General features: G+C 41.9%; 1 protein-coding gene across 17 annotated transcripts in view, besides 1 other annotated feature; it reads right to left on the reverse strand.

Moving 5' to 3' along the window:
- MPP7 (MAGUK p55 scaffold protein 7) overlaps positions 1–21,270 on the reverse strand; it is a 284,211-nt gene that overhangs the window by 211,588 nt on the left and 51,353 nt on the right. For 6 of the 17 annotated variants that reach the window (XM_047424649.1, XM_011519337.3, XM_047424648.1 and 3 more), the window contains exons 1-2: positions 19,430–19,543; positions 17,520–17,560 (exon numbers count right to left, since the gene is read on the reverse strand). The exons of 6 other annotated variants lie outside the window; for them this stretch is intronic. Coding sequence is in view for 2 of the 11 variants with exons in the window: in XM_017015741.2 (XP_016871230.1) it covers positions 17,520–17,750 (231 nt within the window). In the remaining 9 variants the exon portion in view is untranslated. Of the gene's footprint in view, positions 1–17,519; positions 18,490–19,429; positions 19,544–21,270 lie in introns of those variants that run through there. 5 more of the 17 variants (XM_047424646.1, XM_047424644.1, XR_007061944.1 and 2 more) reach the window with 4 other exon arrangements.
- Positions 13,840–14,134: a silencer, noted in NCBI's record as "tiled region #10737; K562 Repressive non-DNase unmatched - State 22:ReprW". NCBI's record gives its function as "represses a minimal TATA promoter and a strong SV40 promoter by Sharpr-MPRA in K562 cells {active_cell/tissue: K562}" and the evidence as "EXISTENCE:reporter gene assay evidence [ECO:0000049][PMID:27701403]".

The following is a 21,270-nucleotide window of genomic DNA, read 5'->3' on the forward strand; positions in this document are numbered from 1 at the left end:
CAGACATTTTTTAATCTGATGAAAACTATGGATCCTTTCTTTCCTAAGAAACATTCGCTAGTTACACAAAAAGCTGCACCTATTCTAAACAGGTTGTACATTCATTAGACTCTAAAGTCCAATCATGTACACAGCTCAGGAACTCTTACTTGAGTGGCTTGAGGAGACTAATACAATGCTAAATCTCACATTTAGCCGGACGCAGTGGCTCACGCCTGTAATCCCAGCACTTTGGGAGGCCGAGGTGGGCAGATCATTTGAGGTCAGGAGTTAGGCATGAGCCTGACCAACATGGTGAAACCCCATCGCTACTAAAAATAAAAAAATTAGCCAGGAGAGGTGGCATGTGCCTATAATCCCAGCTACTCAGGAGGCTGAAGCACGAGAATCGCTTGAACCCAGGAGGCGGAGGCTGCAGTGAGCTGAGTTCGCACCACCGCACTCCAGCCTGGGCAACAGAGCGAGACTCCGTTTCAAAAAAATAAAATAAAATAAAAATAAATCTCACATTTAAAAAGAAACATAATGAGTCTACCTGCACTCAGGTGTCTAAGTACCTGACCACATATAAATCAGAGGCAATAATAAAATATTTTAAAGAAAACCCAAATTTCTCTGGTGGTAGTGTATTCAAATTGCTTTCATCTAAATACGCTGAGTGAAAGGGCCACTACCATCTGGTAGCAGCCAATCTTGAATTTAAGAAATGAGGAATGTGACCTGATGGGCCTGGGGAGGGTAAAGTCACAAGGTTTGAAGCTGTGTTTGCATAGTTCTGCAAATAAATATTCAGAACACGGAAACTGTTCATGTCAAATAAAGGAGGTGGGGTATTACAGAAGGGATAAAGCCCCAAAAGTGTCCCCCGACCTTGATCCACCACTGCCAGTTGGCTCTTAAAAGTTCTACAGAGCTACATTTTTCCCGTCAATGTAGATTGTGATGAAAAATTAAATTGGCTCATGAGCCATATACAGAAGACTTCTAAAATCAACACTGAAGTGTTTCCCTTTCTCAGGATTTGGCTGTGAAGCGTGACCAACCAAGCCAGGAGGAAGGGGAGGGATCTTGGAGCTGGCCCACGATCTGCAAAGAGGAAAGGATGGCAGGGGAGGGGCAGAGAGGAGCGGCATATCTCAGCTCAGAAGCAGACGGAGGAGCTGCAGCTGAAGGCGCCAGGTGAAACATCCGACACATGTGGGAACCTTAGTGGTGATGCAGGCAACAGCAGGTACCAGAATTTCCAAGACACAGGAATAGTATCCAAATCTCACAGATGGAAGATAGCAATGGGAAGTCTGGCAGCTTGGGAGTCAGGTAGGGAAAGCGTTCTAGCTCCATACCCAATTCCAGAGGCAGAGCTTCAATCCCCAGAAAAAAGAAAGTTTGAGAGATAGGCACAGTTTCAGGAACCAAATAAAAAGCCCCATTCTAGGCCAGGTACAGTGGCTCATGCCTGCAATCCCAGCACTTTGGGAGGCCGAGGCAGGATGAACGCTTGAGGCCAAGAGTTGGAGACCAGCCTGGACAACATAGGGAGACCCTGTCTCTACAAAAAAATTTTGAAAATTAACCAGGCAGGATGGCACTCACCTGCAGTCCCAGCTACTTGGGAGGCTGAGGTGGGAGGATGGCAGGAGTTCAAGGTTACAGTGAGCTACGATTGCACCACTGCACTACAGACTGGGTGACATAGTAAGACCCTGTCTCTTTTTTTTAAGTCTCATTTTAGCTAAAAATTGGGGCAAAGAGCAGCAACAGGGACAAAGAGGAGCATCAGAGCCAGGAATGACTGGCAAAAAAATAAGGAAAAATGCAAGAAATCTAGTGCCCAGCCCTGAGACCACAGATCCTCAGGATGGGGCGCTGGTGGACCAGAAACCCCACCACGTGAGAAGGCTGCACTTTAAATTAGACCGTCCTGGTGTCTGCCTTGGTCACAAAATTAGAGTGGAGATAAGCAACACAGACACCAGCCCTGGCCTCAGGGAGCTTTTTTTTTTTTTTTAAATAAAATATAATCTCAAACGATCAAAGAAAAAGACAGAAAGTCTGACTGAAGAGCCCAAGCATTAATTTCCACCATCTCTCAACAGCTTGAGCAAACATATGGAAGTGGGAAGCACAGAGCATGTGAAGGAAACTGTTTATTACAGTTGGGATAAAATAAAAGGTAAGTGTTGGAATGAAAGAATGATTTCCAATGCTGGCCTAAGGATTTTATGGTGGCGGTGGGTAAAAAGGACATGTTCAGAATGGTGTCTTGGAAGATTAATTCACCAGTACCATCTTAGAAGCCAAGGAAGAGAGACTTTCAGGAAGAAGGCACAGTCCTCATCTCCAAATGCTGTTGATATTGAGAAATATAAAAATACTAATTAGAAGGCATCCTCTCTACCAGTTTCATTAGTGGAGATTATAGGGTAGACAGACAGGACAAGGGCAGAATCAATTCAAGAGATAGAACAGTACTCAGGATGCACCTCCCATTGAGGAAGTTATGTATAAAAAGAGACAAGAGATAGGTCCCTGAGTTCCCATCAGAGGTATTGCTTTTACTGTTGTTGCTGCTGATATTTTTAAAAACAGGTAGACCTGAGTCAACAGGTTAAAGATGCAAAAACGAGAAGGGGTAATTGATAAAGAATGTTTAAAAGAACAGAATTATGAGCTCAGCTCATATCAAAATGCATTTACGCTGGGCATGGTGACTCAAGCTTGTAATCCCAACACTTTGGGAGGCCAAGGCGGGGGGACTGCTTGAGCTCAGGAGTTCGAGACCAGCCTGGGGAACTTGGCGAAACCCCATCTCCACAAAAAATGCAAAACTTAGCCAGGCATGGTGGTACATACCTGTAGTCCCAGCTGCTTGGGAGGCTGAGGTGGGAGGATTGCTTGAGTCCAGGGGGTCAAGAATGCAGTGAGCCAAGATCATGCCACTGCACTCCAGCTTGGGCAACAGCATAAGATCCTGTCTCCCCACCCCACCCCCAAAAAATGCCTTTACATCTTAAAAAAATTCCACTTTGAAACTCTTTTTCCAACAAATGGTTTCTCAGTGTAAAATGTCTATAAATTATTCAGTGTTGATAATGTGTCTGTTCCATTGTTCAATAACCAAGAAATACATATCATAGCTTTTTTAACTTTATCGAGTTAATAAATGTTGGCACAAACTGTGCTTTCTTTTAATGAAATCCAATAAGCAGAGTAAGTGCAGAGGAAAGGGAAAGAATGGGTTTTAGGATTATCCAGACCTGGGTTTAAATTATATTTTTAAGAGCAAAAAAACTACATTATTGCTTGAATACTTAGGTAAGCATAAGTACTTACATGCTAAGGGATTTACAAGACTCTCTCATCTGACCTTCACAAGGGCCTTCTGTTCTGTTTTGTTTTGTTTTGGAGACAGGGTCTCACTCTGTCACCCAGGCTGGAGTACTCAGGAGGCTCACTGCAACCTCCGCCTCCCGAGTTCAAGCGATTCTCCTGCCTCAGCCTCCCTAGTAGCTGGGATTACAGGCGCCCACCACCGTGCCCAGCTAATTTTTGTATTTTTAGTAGAGACGGGTTTTCACCATGTTGGTCAGGCTGGTCTCGAACTCCTGACCTCAAGTGATCCACCCTCCTCAGCCTCCCAAAGTGGTGGAATTACAAACTTGAGCTACTGTGCCCAGCCCACAAGGGCCTTTTCAGTTTAGAGGTTCAACAATTTACCCAAGTCAATAAAGAAGTAGAGCAGGGATCTGAACTTGAGCCTGATTCTAAAGAGAAATGCTTTCACGGTCCTCAAATTGTAACATCAAGCTCTGCCACCTCCCACAACTTCTGCGCTTCAGGTCCTCATAACATATAGTTTTGCCATGAAGAATTAGAAAAAGTTAACATATGAGGCAGAAGGATCTCTTGAACTCAGGAGTTGGAGGCTGCAGTGAGCTATGATCATGCCACTGTACTCCAGCCTGGGTGACAGAGTGAGACCCTGACTTTAAAAAAAGAAAAAAGAAAAAAAAGTGAATGCATGGATAACACAACAGAGAGAAGTTCCTCAATAGATGCTGGTTTCCTTATCTCCTTCCTGTTTCATTTTTGTAATCACTTTCTTAAAACCTTGCTCTTTCTAAGCTATGGTGCTGTCTCTTCTATGTCCCTCTGACACCATATGTGTACCCCAATCAGCATTGTCCCCATGTTATAATTGTTAGCTTGTCTGTTTCTCAATAGTCAGTAAACTCTTCAAGAACCACAGCCTTTGAGCATCATTAACTTTATGTCTCTAGTTTCCAGTGCATCTGGCATGCAGTAAGTGCTCAATAAGTGTTTCTTGTTCCAACTAATTCTGGTTAATATTTAATCCAAGTGTGCTATCTGCTTAGGTTGCCTCTAAAACCTTAGTCACTAGGCCCATCAACATTGTCACAGATGTCAAAGAGCTAAGGTATGCCGTGTGCCATCTGTTCTGCCATATGCGTTAGTTCGGGGGCCTAAAAACTACAGCAAGTTGGCCCACCATCTGTTCCTATAAATAAAGTTTTATTGAAACACAGCCAAGTTCATTCACTTATATATTGTCTACAGCTGCTTTTATGTTACAATGGCAAAGTGGAATATTTGAAGCAGAGACCACTGGACCTGCAAAGCTTAGTACATTGCATCTGGCCTTTACAAAAAAAATATTTGCTAACCTCTGCATTAGTTGGATCCATTCAGTAAGTTAACAAATATTAGAATATTTACTATGAGGCAATTGCTGCCTTTAGATGCTGGGTATAGTGTGGTGAACAAAACAGGCACATCCCTGACCTTCACAGAGCTTATAATCTAGCAAGCAAAAAAGACAACACACTCAGGTAGTCAAATAAATAAACAAAGAAGCAATAAATACCACAGGTTGAGCATCTCTAATACAAAAATCTGAAATCCAAAATGCTCCAGAATCCAAAATTATCAACATGATGCTCAAAGGAAATGGTCACTAGAGCATTACAGATTTTGGATTTTCAGATTAGGGATGCTTGAGCAACTGGTATAATGCAAATATTCCAAAAGAAAAATAAAATAAAATCCAGAACACTTCTGGTCCCAAGCATGTCAGATAAGGGATACCCAACCTGTATAAAATGTGATCAACATGGTAAAAGAAAAGTAGATAATACTATTTGAAAGAATAACGAGCCAGGCACGATGGCTCACACCTGTAATTCCAGCACTTTGGGAGGCTGTGGCAGGTAGATCACTTGAGGTCAGCAGTTTGAGACCAGCCTGGGCAACACGGTGAAACTCCAACTCTACCAAAAACACAAAAATTAGCCGGGCGTGCTGGTGCATGCCTGTAATCCCAGCTATTCGGGAGGCTAAGGTGGGAGGATAGCTGGGACGTGGGAAGTCGAGGCTGCAGTGAGCAGTGAAGTACCACTGTACTCCACCCAGGCTGGTGAAGTACACCCACCCTGCCTCAAAAAACAAAAACAAACAAACAAACAAACAAAAATTACATTAAAATAAAATTAAATAAATGAAGAATAACAAATGTGAGTAGAGAGGAGGCATACTCTATATTGGGTAGAAGGTGAAGTTTCTCTAAGCAGGTGCAATTAAGCTCAGCCCTGAATCACTGTGGGGCAGGGAACCGCCATGTGAGAGACAAGGGCATCCGGCAGAAGGTACAAGAAGAATTCAGGCTGGGAAGAAGGAAAGAGCCCAATATGTTCTAAAGAAGATGTGGCTGGAACAAAATGAGCCAGAGAAATTTTGATAAAGAAGGAACTGTAGGCAAAGGTTACATCATAGAGTACGTTGTAAGCCACTTTAAATCTGAATTTTAATTTTTACATTTTTAAAAACCATTTTTATTATAAAGACAATTAGGGGCCAGGCGCGGTGGCTCATGCCTGTAATCCCAGCACTTTGGGAGGCCAAGGCACACGGATGACTTGAGGTAAGGAGTTCGAGACCAGCCTGGTCAACATGGTGAAACCCCGTCTCTACTAAAAATACAAAAGTTACCCGGGTGTGGTGGTGCACACCTGTAATCCCAGCTACTCAGGAAGCTGAGGCAGAAGAATCATTTGAACATGAGAGGCAGAGAAGATTGCAGTGAGCCGAGAATGCACCACTGCACTCCAGCCTCGATGACGGAGTGAGACTCTGTCTCAAAAAAAAAAAAAAAGGCAATTGTAGAAAATGGGGCTAATCAGGCGTGGTGGCAGGCACCTGTAGTACCAGCTACTCGGGAGGCTGAGGCAGGAGAATGGCATGAACCCAGGAGGCAGAGCTTGCAGTGAGCCAAGATTGCGCCACTGCACTCCAGCCTGGGCAACAGACCGAGACTCCGTCTCAAAAAAAAACAAAGAAAAAGAAAATGGGGCTAATATTATAGACTCATGAAACTACTCTTCCTTCAGGAATATTCATGAATATATACAGCAAATCCACCTGTAATTACATACACCTTTTACTCAAAAGTAAGGACTTTCTTTCCCATAACTATTTCTACTTCCTTAAACATTTTGATTACTTATGACTGAAGCCATGGATTCAGTGTGATATAAATACTTTACGTCTCTAAAACCCTGCTCATCTGATTGATGCAGGACCTTTGGGAGAGGCAGGTGAGGAACATGCCCTGCTATCCTAACCCCATTGCTCCAGCAAAGAATAGAAAAGGAGAACAAATTAGCTCATTCAATGCCATAGCCTCAATGCCCAGATAGTGATGACAACAGTGAATGCTCAACAAACTGAGGTCGATTTTAACTCAATTCTCTTCTAATCTAGTCCAACCTTGCATAAGCATAAATTGGGTAGTGATTATGCCCCCAAACTCTTCAGCTATTACCACAAAAGAAGCCAATCCATCATCATTCTAAAGTAAATCTCCACCAACATTAAATCTTCAATTGGCTGGAGAACTTCACCTTCACAGTTTGAATATTTGTTTTTATCTTTTTTTTTTTTTTTTTAAGAGATGAGATCTTGCTCTGTCACCCAGGCTGGAGTGCAGTGGCATGATCAAAGCTCACTGCAGCCTCCAACTCCTGGCCTCAAGTGATCCTCCCAGCTCAGTCTCCCAAGTAGCTGGGACTAGAGGCACGCACCACCACACCCAGCTAATTTTTTTAAATTTTTTTAGAGATGGGGTTTCACAATGTTGTCTAGGCTGGTCTCTAATTCCTGGCCTCAAGCGATCCTCTTGCCTCAGCCTCCCAAGTACAATGTTTGAATATTTTAAACATAAAATTAATAAGTAGTACTTCAAAGTACATAAGATTAGATCATTTTCCTTCAAACTTTGATGAACAGACAGTGCTTAAGATCGGGGTATTCTGCAAAGACAGGATATCAGGACAGAAAGAGACCTGAGTTGGAGTTAGGGAATGTGGAGTCTAGACCTGGTTTTACTGGTTCTCTTAAAAACAGCAACATGGCCGCAGCCAGTCCCAGAATCCCCTAGGCCTCTGGGTATCCCCAAACCACAGGATTCCCAAGACCGCATTACGGCTTCACATGCAATGACTTGTAGGCTGGTAAATGCCACGAGACTAAGATGGCGCGTTAAAAGAGTGACAAGCTTGAAGGATGATGAGGTGTTTGACACAGTCCTTACGGAACGGGAAGATTTTCACAGGCATAAAGCTAAGGTCAAGGCAAATCTCAGCAGAGAGAATTGCTGACTATGCTTTCATTCAGCAAAACATCACAGTGGTTCTCCTCTAATGCCTAATACATTGACATGGTTATAATCACAATACACAGCAGCCCAGCAGTTCAGAAGCTTTAAATCATGTTTAAAACTATTGTTTTAATTGAAGGGGAGTAGGAGGAAGCCAGGGCAGTGGCACCCACCTGTAGTCCCAGTTTCTTGGCAGACAGAGGCAGGAGGATCACTTGAGCGCAGGAATTCCAGACCAGCCTGGGCAACATAACAAGACTATCTCTTTAAAAAAAAAAAAGGGGGGGGGGGAGGAGGGGAGCTGGGGAGGGGGCGCAATCTACATCTATTGCTGGGTGGGGAAAGGCACGTGTGCCTACTTCAGTTCTATCTGCAGCGCCTGTTCAACATCAACGCCCTCTATCCTCGTTTTCTTAAACATGCAGTAGGAAATGGAAGCAAAATATTTATCATTAAAAATGCATGAAAATGTTAAACTGTCTTTGGGGAACTTATTAAATCAGAGTTCATCAGAAACCTCTGGCTGTAATGCCTAGGCTGCTGTTTTTGAAGAGTCTTGAAGCCTGAGAGCTCTTTCTGAAGACCACGGTTCTTTGAAATAGCGCATGTTGCCTTTCCTCCAGGGACATTAAATGATGATGGGATCTCTCAGTGGGACTGCCCCAGCCATTTGTTTTTTGGACTTTTTAGTACAATAGTAAGCTAAATAATTAGCTGGTGATGTACACTGATCTAGACCCATAATAATTACAGGCAGAACTGTTGTACCTTGTCATGACCAGCAACTGGTGTGTTTTAATTTTTTTAAGAATTATATCAATCAAAATGGTTTGTGTGCATAATTCGAAACAATACAAGAGGTCCCAAATATGGTTTCTAGGCAAAAGGAAGTTAGGCAAAATTTGCAATGTATCTTTCCATCTTTGCAGATGTGCTGCCTATCTTTTTGGAAGGAGCAGAGAAACCAAAGGAATATTTCATTTAAAGTCAGACAACAGTCACATCTCTGAAAAACATTTGTTTTACTTGAGAAGAAAAAACATTAAGTGCTGGGACAACAGGATTTATAATACTATCACAGGATTTTTGGAGTATTAGCCATTGCAACACCCACTAATATCACACCAGCTAAAAATTCAGCAAAAGCTTGTTGGTATGCCAATCAAATATGACATAAAGACACTGTTCTCTTGCTAATCTGGCTTGATGCAGGAGCATAATTTGAAATACCTTGTCTAATGTATGAACTGCAGATCCTTCAGGCACTCCTCCCTAAATATTGCTTCTTTCAAGCAAGATTTCCATAAATTTTGAAAGGTAGGGAGCCCTGTTTGTACTCCCTGGGAAATGTCTGGAGAGTACCTATTTGAAATTCATAGATATATAGACAGATGCAGCTGCCTTAACATGCAGTCTAAGGGCAATTAAAATTCTTCTGTGAGGCCTGGGGCAGTGGCTCACGCCTGTAATCCCAGCACTTTGGGAGGCTGAAGCAGGTGGATCACGAGGTCAGGAGATCAAGACCATCTTGGCTAACATAGTGAAACCCTGTCTCTACTAAAAATACAAAAAATTAACCAAGCGTGGTGGCACGTGCCTGGAGTCTCAGCTACTCGGGAGGCTGAGGCAGGAGAATCACTTGAACCTGGGAGGCAGAGGTTGCAGTGAGCCGAGACCATGCCACTGCACTCCAGCCCGGGTGACAGAGCGAGACTCTGTCTCAAAAAACAAACAAAAAAAAGATTCTGGGGCACTTACAAGGATGCATGTTTGAATAAAAAGCCAGCTCACTGCAGCTTCTGAAAAGCTGAAGAAGACAAGGTTCAATATTCTCCTCTGAAAATGAGGCAGACTAATGAATGATCAAGACCCAACATTCTAGTCCATATAGTTTGACCATGAGCACCTAAGCCTGAAAAATACCTGAAGTAAGACTATTCACCCATCTTCAGCCAAACTAAAATGCACTTTTAGATTCGTGACTTAGATCAAAGTTTCTTCCTGTTACATAAAACCAGGGAAAATTATTTGTAAAATATATACCAAAATGTGCTATTTACACAGGTGTGTCCAATTTGTGAAAATTCATCAAGCTCTACACTTAAATGTGCACTTTTTGGCACATATTTTACTTTTAATAGTTTTACTTATATCTGTACATATATTGTGTGTGCATATATAGTTATAGACATAAGTATATAAAATAATAAATAGAGGTAATTCATTAAGGTATTGATAGACCCTCAAATAATGAAAAGAAGTGCTTTTCATTGGGGCTTTTCATTTAATGGCTAGAAACATCTCTAGAAAGTAATTTCATTCCAGTAGCAATTGCTAATGAATAATCAACAGATATAGTTAATGACTCAGTCAACTAAACGTCACCTTTTCATTAACTGAGTTTTCATAAAGATTTGCTCGGATCTTAATTTTATATACACTGTTGATTTTTAAAAAAATGTATATAAACTCTTAGTTTAAAAAAAAAGAAATGGAACAGGAGGGGAAAAGTATATGTGGATACTGATGCCTGGAGATGTTGGAGTCATTTTTTAAATTTAATACACTTACTTATTAAGTCTTACTCACCTGTTACTACTTCCTATGAAGAATAATGATTTTATTATAGACCAAGTAAAACAACCCAAAATGGTTTGTTTTTTTTGTTTGTTTGTTTGTTTTTGAGATGGAGTCTCACTTTGTCAGCCAGGCTGTAGTGTAGTGGCGCGATCTCAGCTCAATGCAACTTCCACTCCTGGGTTCAAGCGATTCTCCTGCCTCAGCCTCCCCAGTAGCTGGGATTACAGGCACACACCACCACACTGGGCTAATTTTTTGTATTTTTAGTAGAGATGGGGTTTCACCATGTTGGCCAGGCTGGTCTCGAACTCCTAACCTCAAGTGATCCACCCACCTCGGCCTCCCAAAGTTCTGGGATTACAGGCGTGAGCCACCACACCCAGCCCCAAAATGTTATTTTAAACCATAAACAGTATTAGCCAGTATTAACAGTTCAAAAGCAATCTGGAATCATCTAAAAGAGACTACAAGTCAATCTGCCCTAAATTAACCAGGAAGTCTTTTCCATATCTTATGGTACAATTACAAAAGAATTCTATCTAGAAAAAGAACACAGCCTACAAAAGATTAAAGGCATTCAGATCAAGGTGTTTTGTCAAGATTTCCTAGGTGTCCTCTTTATTGGTGCCGTTACAAGGTAAGTGGAGACAGACATAAGCAATTGCTCGGCGTAGCCTCTCCTACAGAAGAGTTACCTCAATGAACTGAGAACATTCTACCCACTCTCACATTCCAGCTTACTCACCCACATCTACCTTCATGTTTAAGAGCAGCATTCAGAGACTATAAAAGCAAGGAATTTAAGTCTTCTGCTACTTTAAGGCAAATTGCATCAAGAGGACTATCACAAAATGCAAACACGATGAAAGAATTTCCTCTTCTTTGCAGAACGCAATTATTCTGCATTAACAATGTCAAGTTCTGCATTCACTAGACCTCCCAGATTTTTATTCTTATCCCTGTATAAATAATCAAAGCTGCATGTATCTCAGAATGTTGATTAGAAAATACTACAAGGCAGGCATGGTGGTGCACACTTGTAGCCCCAGCTACTCAGGAGGCTGAGTTGAAAGGATTGCTTGAGCCCAGGAGTTCGAGTCCAGCCTGGGTAACACAGATACCATCTCTAAAACAAAACAAACAAAGGCTGGGCACGGTGGCTTATGCCTATAATCCCAGCACTTTGAGAGGCCAAGGCAAGCAGATTGCTTGAGTCCAGGGGTTCAAGACCATCATGATACCCCATCTCTGTAAAATAAAATTTTTTTCTTTTTTTTTTTTTTTTTTTGAGATGGAGTCTCACTCTGTCACCCAGGCTGGAGTGCAGTGGCGCAGTCTCGGCTCACTGCAAGCTCTGCCTCCCAGGTTCATGCCATTCTCCTGCCTCAGCCTCCCGAGTAGCTGGGACTATAGGAGCCAGCCACCACGCCCGGCTAATTTTTTGTATTTTTAGTAGAGACGGGGTTTCACCGGAGCCAGGATGGTCTCAAGCTCCTGACCTCGTGATCCGCCCACCTCGGCCTCCCAAAGTGCTGGGATTACAGGCATAAGCCACCGCGCCCGGCCAAAATTTTTTTAAAATATTACATTTATAGTTATCAAAGCTCCCTAAACTCTGCCCATATTCTTCAACAATCAAAAGAATTTCACACAACATTAACATCACAGAAACAAAATAAATAATATAGTTTCACAAAATTTACCAATTTTCTGATAGCCCTCTAATAAATTAGAAGATTCTTTGGCTCCCAGAACCAACAAAACAAATGAAAAAGATTTATAGGGCAATCATATCCATCCACCCAGTGTTTACACAGTGCCTACACTACACAGACTAAAGTATAGCACAGCTCAAACCCTGGACTACATAGGAGGCTGCCTGGATGACTTCCTCTCTACTTCCTGCTACAGAAAGGTTAAAAAATCTAAATGCCTCTGAAAATAAACTCTTCATCACCATCCCTTCCTCTGGCTTTTTTTTATATGCCATCAATTTCACAAATAATGAGCAAAAATAAGCTACTCTCATTATATGACTTTCTAGTCACATTTAATTTGCTTTAGTTCAATTTTATCCTTAGATTCTAAGGTCTCAAGATGGAAACTAGACAGTATTCACCTTTGTATCTGCCCAGAGCTTAACACAGTACATTCAAATACTATAATCAGAATTCAATACATCTTGATGAAATCGGCTTAAATGTCCATAGTCCAGATTTAGTAAAAGGCATTGTTGAACCTGAAAATGCTGCCACTAAAGAACAAGAAATTTGGCTGCAATTATCACCTTTAAGCTGACATCTCCAGTTCTCTGTCCCTAAGCTAGACCCAACATATAACCATGTGTCATCTTCACTTAATGTGTAGGCATCTCAAACACAACATGTTTGAAAATGAACATGTCTTTCCACTACCTCCCCAAGACGTGCTCTTCTGCCGGATACCCTCTTCTACATGAACGGCATGACCATTCACCTAGATGCCCAAGGCAGAAATCTTAGATGTGCTGTTGAGTCCTATCTCTCCCTTACCTCTTACATCCAATAATCACTGTGTCCTGTCACCTTCCTAATATTTCTTTTTTTTTTTTTTCATACAGAGTCTCGCTCTGTCACCCAGGCTGGAGTGCAATGGCGCAATCTCCGTTCACTGCAACCTCCGCCTCCTGGGCTCAAGCAATTCTCCTGCCTCAGCCTCCCGAGTAGCTGGGATTACAGGCACGCACCACCACGCCTGGCTAATTTTTATATTTTTAGTAAAGAAGACATTTCACAGTGTTGGCCAGGCTGGTCTCAAACTCCTGACCTCAAGGGATCCACCTGCCTCGGCCTCCCAAAATGCTGGGAGTACAGGCTTGAGCCACCATGCCCAACCCCTTCCTAATATTTCTTGAATCAGTCTTCTTCCCTACATCTGCATTACCACCAACATGCCAGTCCAAGCCACTATTCTCAAACACCTGAACAACCTCCCAACCAATCTCACGACAGAGCCATTATGATAGGTCTCCAACTCACTGGTTACACAGCAATTTTAAAGAGCAATCTTTAAGTTAAAAAATTGTGGATATGTGTGTATCTGTGCAGAAACCTTATGTATCTCATAATCATTATACCTCTTGGAGAACCTAGCACATAGTAGGTCTGCAATAAAGATGAATACTCACCCATCCTCTTGACCAAAAAGGCCATCACATACTTTTTTTTTTTTTTTTTTGAGATGGAGTCTTGCTCTGTTGTCCAGGCTGGAGTGCAGTGGCATGATCTCAGCTCACTGCAAACTCCACCTCCCGGGTTCAAGCGATTCTCCTGCCTCAGCCTCCCAAGTAGCTGGGATTACAGGCGCCCACCACCACACCCAGCTAATTTTTGTATTTTTAGTAGAGACGGGGTTTCACCATATTGGCCAGACTGGTCTCGAACTCCTGACCTCAGGTGATCCACCCGCCTCGGCCTCCCAGAGTGCTGGGATTACAGGCATGAGCCACCGTGCCTGGCCTTGTCACATGCTTTTTACAACAAGTATAAACATTACCAAGTAGCAAGCTATTATGAAGACATTAATAAATTTTAGCATTGGTTAGGCTACCAAAGTAATCTAATATAGTCCAGCCCAGATGGGATTTACAGCTGAGATGAGAAATAGCTTCTATATACAAGGTAGCAAACAAACAAGATGAAATTACATAAAGACAAACAGAACACTATATCACTGTAAGAGTCTTTGAGTCGGATTACTAAAGGATCAATAGAATGTAAACAAAACAGAAGACACTACAGATGAAAAACTAGGGAGGCATCACACATGGGTGCGTTTGTTTTCAGGAGCGCAAGTCATGCACACGTAGGTTTGATATGAAGGGAGAAGAATCAAAGGACAAAGTCACTGATCTGATCACAGAACAGGTTTATGTTTGGAAAAGTTTAAAGCTGAATATTTTGAGAACAGCACAATGTGAAGAACAATGGGATCTGGGTAAAGGGATTAAGACTTGATAGGATTAGGAATAATAGCCCTATCGTTTGACTGTGCCAGCTATAGGACTTGACACATATTCTCTGATTTAAAACCTTCTACAGGCCAGGTGTGGTGGCTCTTGCCTATAATCCCAGCACTTTGGGAAGCCAAAGCAGGAAGATCACTTGAGCCCAGGAGTTTGAGACCAGCTTGGACAACATAGTGAGATGCTGCCTCTACAAAAAAAAAAATTCATTAGCCTGGTTTGGTGACACACGTCTGTGCTCCCAGCTACTCAGGAGGCTGAGGATAGCTTGAGCCTGGGAGGTCAAGGCTGCAGTAAGCCGTGACAGTGTCACTGTACTTCTACCTGGGAGACACAGCAAGATCCTGTCTCCAAATCAATCAATCAATCAATCCTACTACAACCCTATCATCTAAATACCATTACTACTGTCTCAGTTTACTTATGAGGGAACTGAGTCCAATCTTTTGGCTTTCCTGGGCCACAGTAGAAGAATAATTGTCTTCAGCCACACATAAAGTACACTAATACTAATGATAGCTGACGAGCAAAAAAAAAAAAATTAATTAAAAAAATAAATTTTTTAAAAAATTAAAATCACAAAAACGATCTCCTAATGTTTTAAGAAAGTTTAGGAATTTGTGTTGGGCCACATTCAAAGCCGTCCTGGGCTGCATGCGGCCCATGGGCCGCAGGTTGGATAGGCTTGATTTATAACATATTTAAGGTCATACAGTTGGCAGAACTGGGGTTTCAATATAGCAACCTCAGAGCCTTTACAAGTCCACAAAGAAGTCCTCTGCAAACATGATGTTATGCAAGGAAAGCTTTAAAACCTAATAACAGGGTACGGGGTAAACCGAAGGCTGCATATATACTTAGCAAAGCAGCAGCTGTAGTAATCTAGGTCAGAAGTGAGCATAATTAGACTAGAATGATAGTGATGAGATTAGAATACAAGAGATTATCGCACAAGAGAATGTCAAAGGGGAAAAGAGCAGGTCTGAAAGTGAAAAATTAAAGAGGTATTGGGATTCGAAGGTAAGTCCACGGTTCCAAATCTTAGATACAAAAAGAATAATGGTACCCTAAACAGAAAAGGAATCCATGAAAAAGTGGACGTATTTTTCCATTTTTGATCTTTTGAGTGACATGAAGAGCTATCCACGTGAAATTGTCCAACAGGCTGCCAGGGCAATGAGACCAAAGCTTGGTTAGAAGAACAGGGCCAGATTAATATTATAAATAACAATTTTATATCCATGCATATTTCTTAAACCAAAGAGAATATTGTTTTAATATAGAAAACTAACACTGTTACCAAAAAAAGAAAAATAAAGCTTTTAATAGCATAACACTTTCCCACACAATAACAAGTTCCCAAAGTGGCCCTAGCAACAGCACTCCTATGTATGTTAGTACAAGTCAAAAACTCCCTGCCACCTACTCAAGTCCTTTGCAAACGATTCCATACCCACTGCATTATCTTCGCAGCATCTTTTTGGAACACAAAATATTGAGACAGCCTGCTAAATTGCATATGGAAGTTTCCACCAAACATCAGACTTTCGACTTACTGGTGGTATCCATTTTTAAATTCCTAATCAATTTAAGGCATACAAACAAAGATTTTTAGGAAATGTTAGAGGTACTGATGGATTTACATGAGCAACCAGGTACTTACAGAAAACACCTGAAGACACCACAAAAAACTAAAATGTCATCTGGTCTCTATATCATCATGGCTAGATATTATCAAAATGATAGATTTTTAAAAGCAAGTAACAGAATGAAACACACAGTGTATCATTTATGTTAATGAACATGTAACACTGTATAGGTCCTTAAGGAAATATTCATATATAGTAAAAGTAAATTTAGAAAAAGATAAAAGGATATATACAAATTCATATTAACTACTTCTGAGAAGAGAGGGAAATAAAACTGGAAAGGGGAACAAAGTATATTTCAAACGTTATCCGTAACATTTCATTTATTCCATTTTTTTTAATCTGAAAAAAAAAAAACACCAAAATGTTAATGGAGGTAAAGGTCATTTATTGCGTTCTCTTTGCCATTCATTATTTCTGAAATGTTACCCAAATTAAAAAAAGAAGGAAAGAAAAGGATCCATATCTCTTGCCTAATGAAGATATCACATGAAACATATCTGACATATTCTGCCTGAATAACTCCAGGGTGAACAGGGTGAAGCAAGCAGTCAATCTCTATTTTGGACTCAACGTATTTCTTGAAATAGAAATGGCATAATTAGCAGATCTAAATGCTGGTTTGATCTCCCAGAGTGAATCTACAGGGTGGGCCTGAGCTACGGGCAAGTTCTCCAGTGGCAGCAACTAGGCAAGGGCACTAAGGCTCAGTATCTCCTAAGGAAGCTAAGAGGAAGATTCAGAAGGACGAAGCTACTAAAAGTTCTCCCAAATAAATCCATGCCTTCCTTCCTAACCCTTAATTCTCCCTGTTCCCTTTCCAAGTCCTTCCTCAAGTCACCGATAGAGACGTTCTGCAGGTTAGTGGATCTTTTTCCTTCTAAGAGGTGAATCTCTGATTGGTCTTTCGGGTTTGTCATTGGCTCACTACAGAAATGCACAGCATGCTCTTTAAGAATTTCGGACAGGCGCAGTGGCTCATGCCTGTAATCCCATCACTTTGGGAGGCCGAGGCGGGTGGATCACCTGAGGTCAGGATGGCGAAACCCCATCTCTACTAAAATACAAAAATTAGCTGGGCATGGTGGCACATGCCTATAATCCCAGCAACTCAGGAGGCCGAGGCAGTAGAATCACTTGAACCCAGGATGTGGAGGTTGCAGTGAGCTGAGATTGCGTCACTGCACTCCAACCTGGGTGACAGAGCGAGACGCTGTCTCAAAAAAAAAAAAAAAGAACTCCATGCATTCTTTCAATATCACTTATTCCGCACAGGCATCAGGGATGTAAGTTTAAGGACGGAATTCCTACCTTCAAAGACACGTCTATTAATTTTTCTTCCACTCAATTTCTTAGTCTTAAAATGTTCCCACCATCAAACACAAGAAAAATCAAGTCTAAACTGTGGCTGAATGATCCCTTAGAATTATTATGACTGTCATGAGCCAAGGTAAGAACTTGATGTGTGAGATGAGGCTATCTGAATGGGGCAACCACTTAGGAAGGTCTCTGCCTCCCTAATGTGCCCAAGCCACCACTGGTAAACCAGGACAATGAGCCATTACAGAGAACAAGGATGAATGCATGCTCATTCATATTTGACTACACTTCTTACCAGCCAGGAATTCAGTTCAGCAACTGCCAAGACTGCTATACCTAACAGGACAAAAATAAAGGGAACATTACTGTGTACCTGCTCTAGATTTGTTTTAGGAACAATACGATATAAAGAAGTTATACAGTCGTTCCTCTGTATATGTGGGCGAAAAGTCTCCCGATACCAAAACCTACTGATTCTCAAGCCCCTGATATAAAATAACCCAGTGTTTGCAAATAACCTGTGCATATCCTCCTGCACACTTTAAATCATCTCTAGATTACTTACAATACCTAATACAATGCAAATGCTATGTAAATAGTTGTTATATTGTTTGGGGAATCATGACAGAAAAAAAGCCTGGACATATTCAGTACAGAAAGAACCATTCATTTTTTTGTTAGTATTTTTTATCTGCAGTTGGTTGAATTCCCTGATGCAGAACCCATGCATACAGGGGCCTGACGGTATAGTGATGTCATATGCAGTCCAAATTTCAGGAACAGAATTCCTTTTAACAGGGCTTAGGCATAAAAAAAATGGTGTGATTTCTAGTACTCTTGACTCCAGATTAATAAATAGCAACAGAGTAATAAAGTTTCCCAGAATCTAGACTCCTAAAGGCAGGCTAGGGCGCAGCCTAGAGGAGGTGCAACAGCCAAGACCCTGATCATCTCAGACCCTGGGAAAGCGCAGGCCAGACAAAGGTCACATGCGACCTCCACATAACAGGGTCAAAACTGTCCCATGAGAGACAAATGGGCATGTGCCTGGCAAAGCAATACAGGGTGCCAATTTAGACAAAAAGAGAAAGAAAAATGCATGCCTTGTACACATTCCTGTGTCTGACTAGAGTGGAGGGTATGTAAAAGAAAAACAAGAGTAATGGAAAATACCATATACAGGCCTCAATATGACAGGCTTTGAAAGGCAAACTGAGTAATTTAGACTCAGTGTGGTAGAGTAGATCCAAAGAATAAATGGTCATTTCTTCTTTTTTTTTCTTTCTTTTTTTTGAGACAGGGTCTCACTCTGTCACCGGGGCTGGAATGCAGTGGTGCAATCTCTGCTCACTGCAACCTCTGCCTCCCAGGTTCAAGCAATTCTCCTGCCTCAGACCCCCAAGTAGCTGGGATTACCAGCGCACGCCACTACACCTGGCAAATTTTTGTATTTTTTGTATTTTTAGTAGAGATGGAGTTTTGCCACATTGGCCAGGCTGGTCTCAAACTCCTGATCTCAAGTGATCCACCCACCTCGGCCTCCCAAAGTGCTGGGATTACAGGCGTGAGCCACTGCACCAGGCCTAATGGTCATTTCTAAAAAGGAAGATGACTTCTGTACCAACATTCTGTACACACAATGAAGTGGTAATGAGTATCTGCTCAAAGAAGGTAGCAGCAGTAACTCAGAGAGACAAATGACAACATGAGATTCTATGAGTAGGAAGAGATGACAATATCAGGTTATTGACCAGATAGCAGAGACAGAAAAAATAAAAACAGCTTTTTTAGGGTATTTACCAACAATACTGTTAATTAATAATAGCAATTAGCATTTACTGACCTTTGGTATGTGCCAGGCACTGCACTAAATACTTCTAATGTGTTATCGGATTTAATTCTCACTACCAACTTTTGTGGTAGGTACTCTAATTAGCCTGTTTCAGTTAAGAAAATGGAGGTTTGGAGAGAATAAATAACTTGTCTAAATTCATAAAACCAGCAATAAGCAGGGCTGGAATTTAGAAGCCAACATGTCTAGTTTTACGGTCCACATTCTTAACCATTAGGACGTATGGCCCTAACGTTTTCAGTTGCATGCCGAGGGCAGTGTACACCAATTAAGCAAGGAAGACAGCTGTGGAAACCAGCGTTGCAGGACACTGGAAGGCTACAAGCAGAGTCATCGTTAAGAAGAACACCCACCTTTCTTTCTCTTCACAATGAGGCTTTTGGCCTTGGAGAAGCTAAATTTTGTTCAAAGCCTAGGAGAACCTGCTGTTTATGAACATTCCTGTAAAAGGAAGTGCACAGGTGGTTCCTGTTAGTTCCATTGGCACTGTGATGTAATCTCTGACATTATCACAGACAGCTGTGTGCCTCACAGGGCACCAAGGGGCCAGAGAAAACTACACCTCAGTATATTGTCTCTTTTCCAGCAAATGTGGCTGCCCGCTTCCAGGGCAGTTCAGCAACCTTGGCTGATAAAATAGGAACCTGAGCCTCATCTACAGTGGATCTGGGAATGTTCTCTTCCTATCAATTTGTGTACCACTTAAAAATGCTTACAGCTGGCTTTGGAGGAAGAGCGGTTAAAATCAAACGTACTCACTCTGAGACATTCAAATATCCAGGATATAGCCACTGAGCAACTGCAAATTTGCTACAGCAAATTAGGGCTCAGGTGGATTCACTGAACTGGAGCTCATTAAAGCCACAGGCAGTTTAGAAGCCACTCAGACAGAAATGAGAGCTGAAACCAAGACAATGGGCAAACGCACAATTGGGGCGGTGGGGGTGAGTAAGTGGGAAAAGGACTGAAGACACTCCCACAATTAAAGGACAGGAGCGTAAAGAAAAACAGTGGCAGAAACCAAGAAGAAACCAGAAATGGAGGAACTAAGCTCCCCATCTCCAGTCATCAAATCTTCTCCCTTACACTGTTCGGATCTGTGTTACTCCTCAGTTCAACCCCTCGCTATTGCCTGCTTGTTCTGTGTCGGTGACCTCCTCCCAACCTGACCCCCACAACAACAACATAGTGAATTAACTGAACTCCATATATGATTATGACATGACTGGAAAGTTCTATAGCCTGTGTCTCAACCTGAGGTACGGTGTGTGGATAGGGGTAGGCATTAAAAAAAGATACCTTTTTCTGGTGTGTCAGTTGCGCACAGTGGAAAGTAACTTTTAATCTTTTACATGAAACATAAAATTTCATAACAATGTCATGCCTGCAGTGGGCTACTTTTCAATGTGACCCAGTCTTCTCCTGGGAAGAGGTGCACGTTGGTGGAGTAACTTAAGGCACTGGCCAAAATAGGTGAAACTTGTGCTTATCCAAATTATGTGAAGGAGCCAAAGAAAGAAAGATTAAAGATCCATAAAGGGGAGGAAATTTCCAATATGAATTCAAATCCTACAGTTCTTACACACTGGTCTCTGATGTATAGGAGAATGGGTAACCTGGGTTTGAATCCTGGCTCTACCAGTTCCTAGTTATATGACCCCAAAGGCAAATTACCTAACTTCTCCCTGACTCCATTTTTCTACTTGTAAATGTAAATGGAATACTCAAAGAGCTGAATTAAGCATGGACATCTAGGGAGGGTTTGCATAACACAGCACCTGGCATACTGTAAAGAACCAAGAAATGACCGCTCTTAATCTGTAAACACCAAGTTCATACCACTCTATTAAAACATTCCAAAGCTTTTGTTTTTTGTGAGACAGAGTCTCACTCTTCCACTCAGGCTGGAGTGCAGTGGCGCAATCTCAGCTCACTGCAGCCTCTGCCTCCTGGGTTCAAGCTATTCTCCTGCCTCAGCCTCCCAAGTAGCTGGGATTACAGGCGCCCGCCACCACGCCCAGCTAATTTTTGTATTTTTAGTAGAGACGAGGTTTCTCCATGTTGGCCAGGCTGGTCTCAAACTCCTGACCTCAAGTGATTCACCCACCTCGGCCTCCCAAAATGCTGGGATTACAGGGGTGAGCCGTCACGCCCAGCCCCCAAAGCTTTTTTTCCATCCAAAATTGTTATTAGA

This window comes from Homo sapiens, chromosome 10 (assembly GCF_000001405.40).
Source record: "Homo sapiens chromosome 10, GRCh38.p14 Primary Assembly".
Classification (NCBI taxonomy): Eukaryota; Metazoa; Chordata; class Mammalia; order Primates; family Hominidae; genus Homo; species Homo sapiens.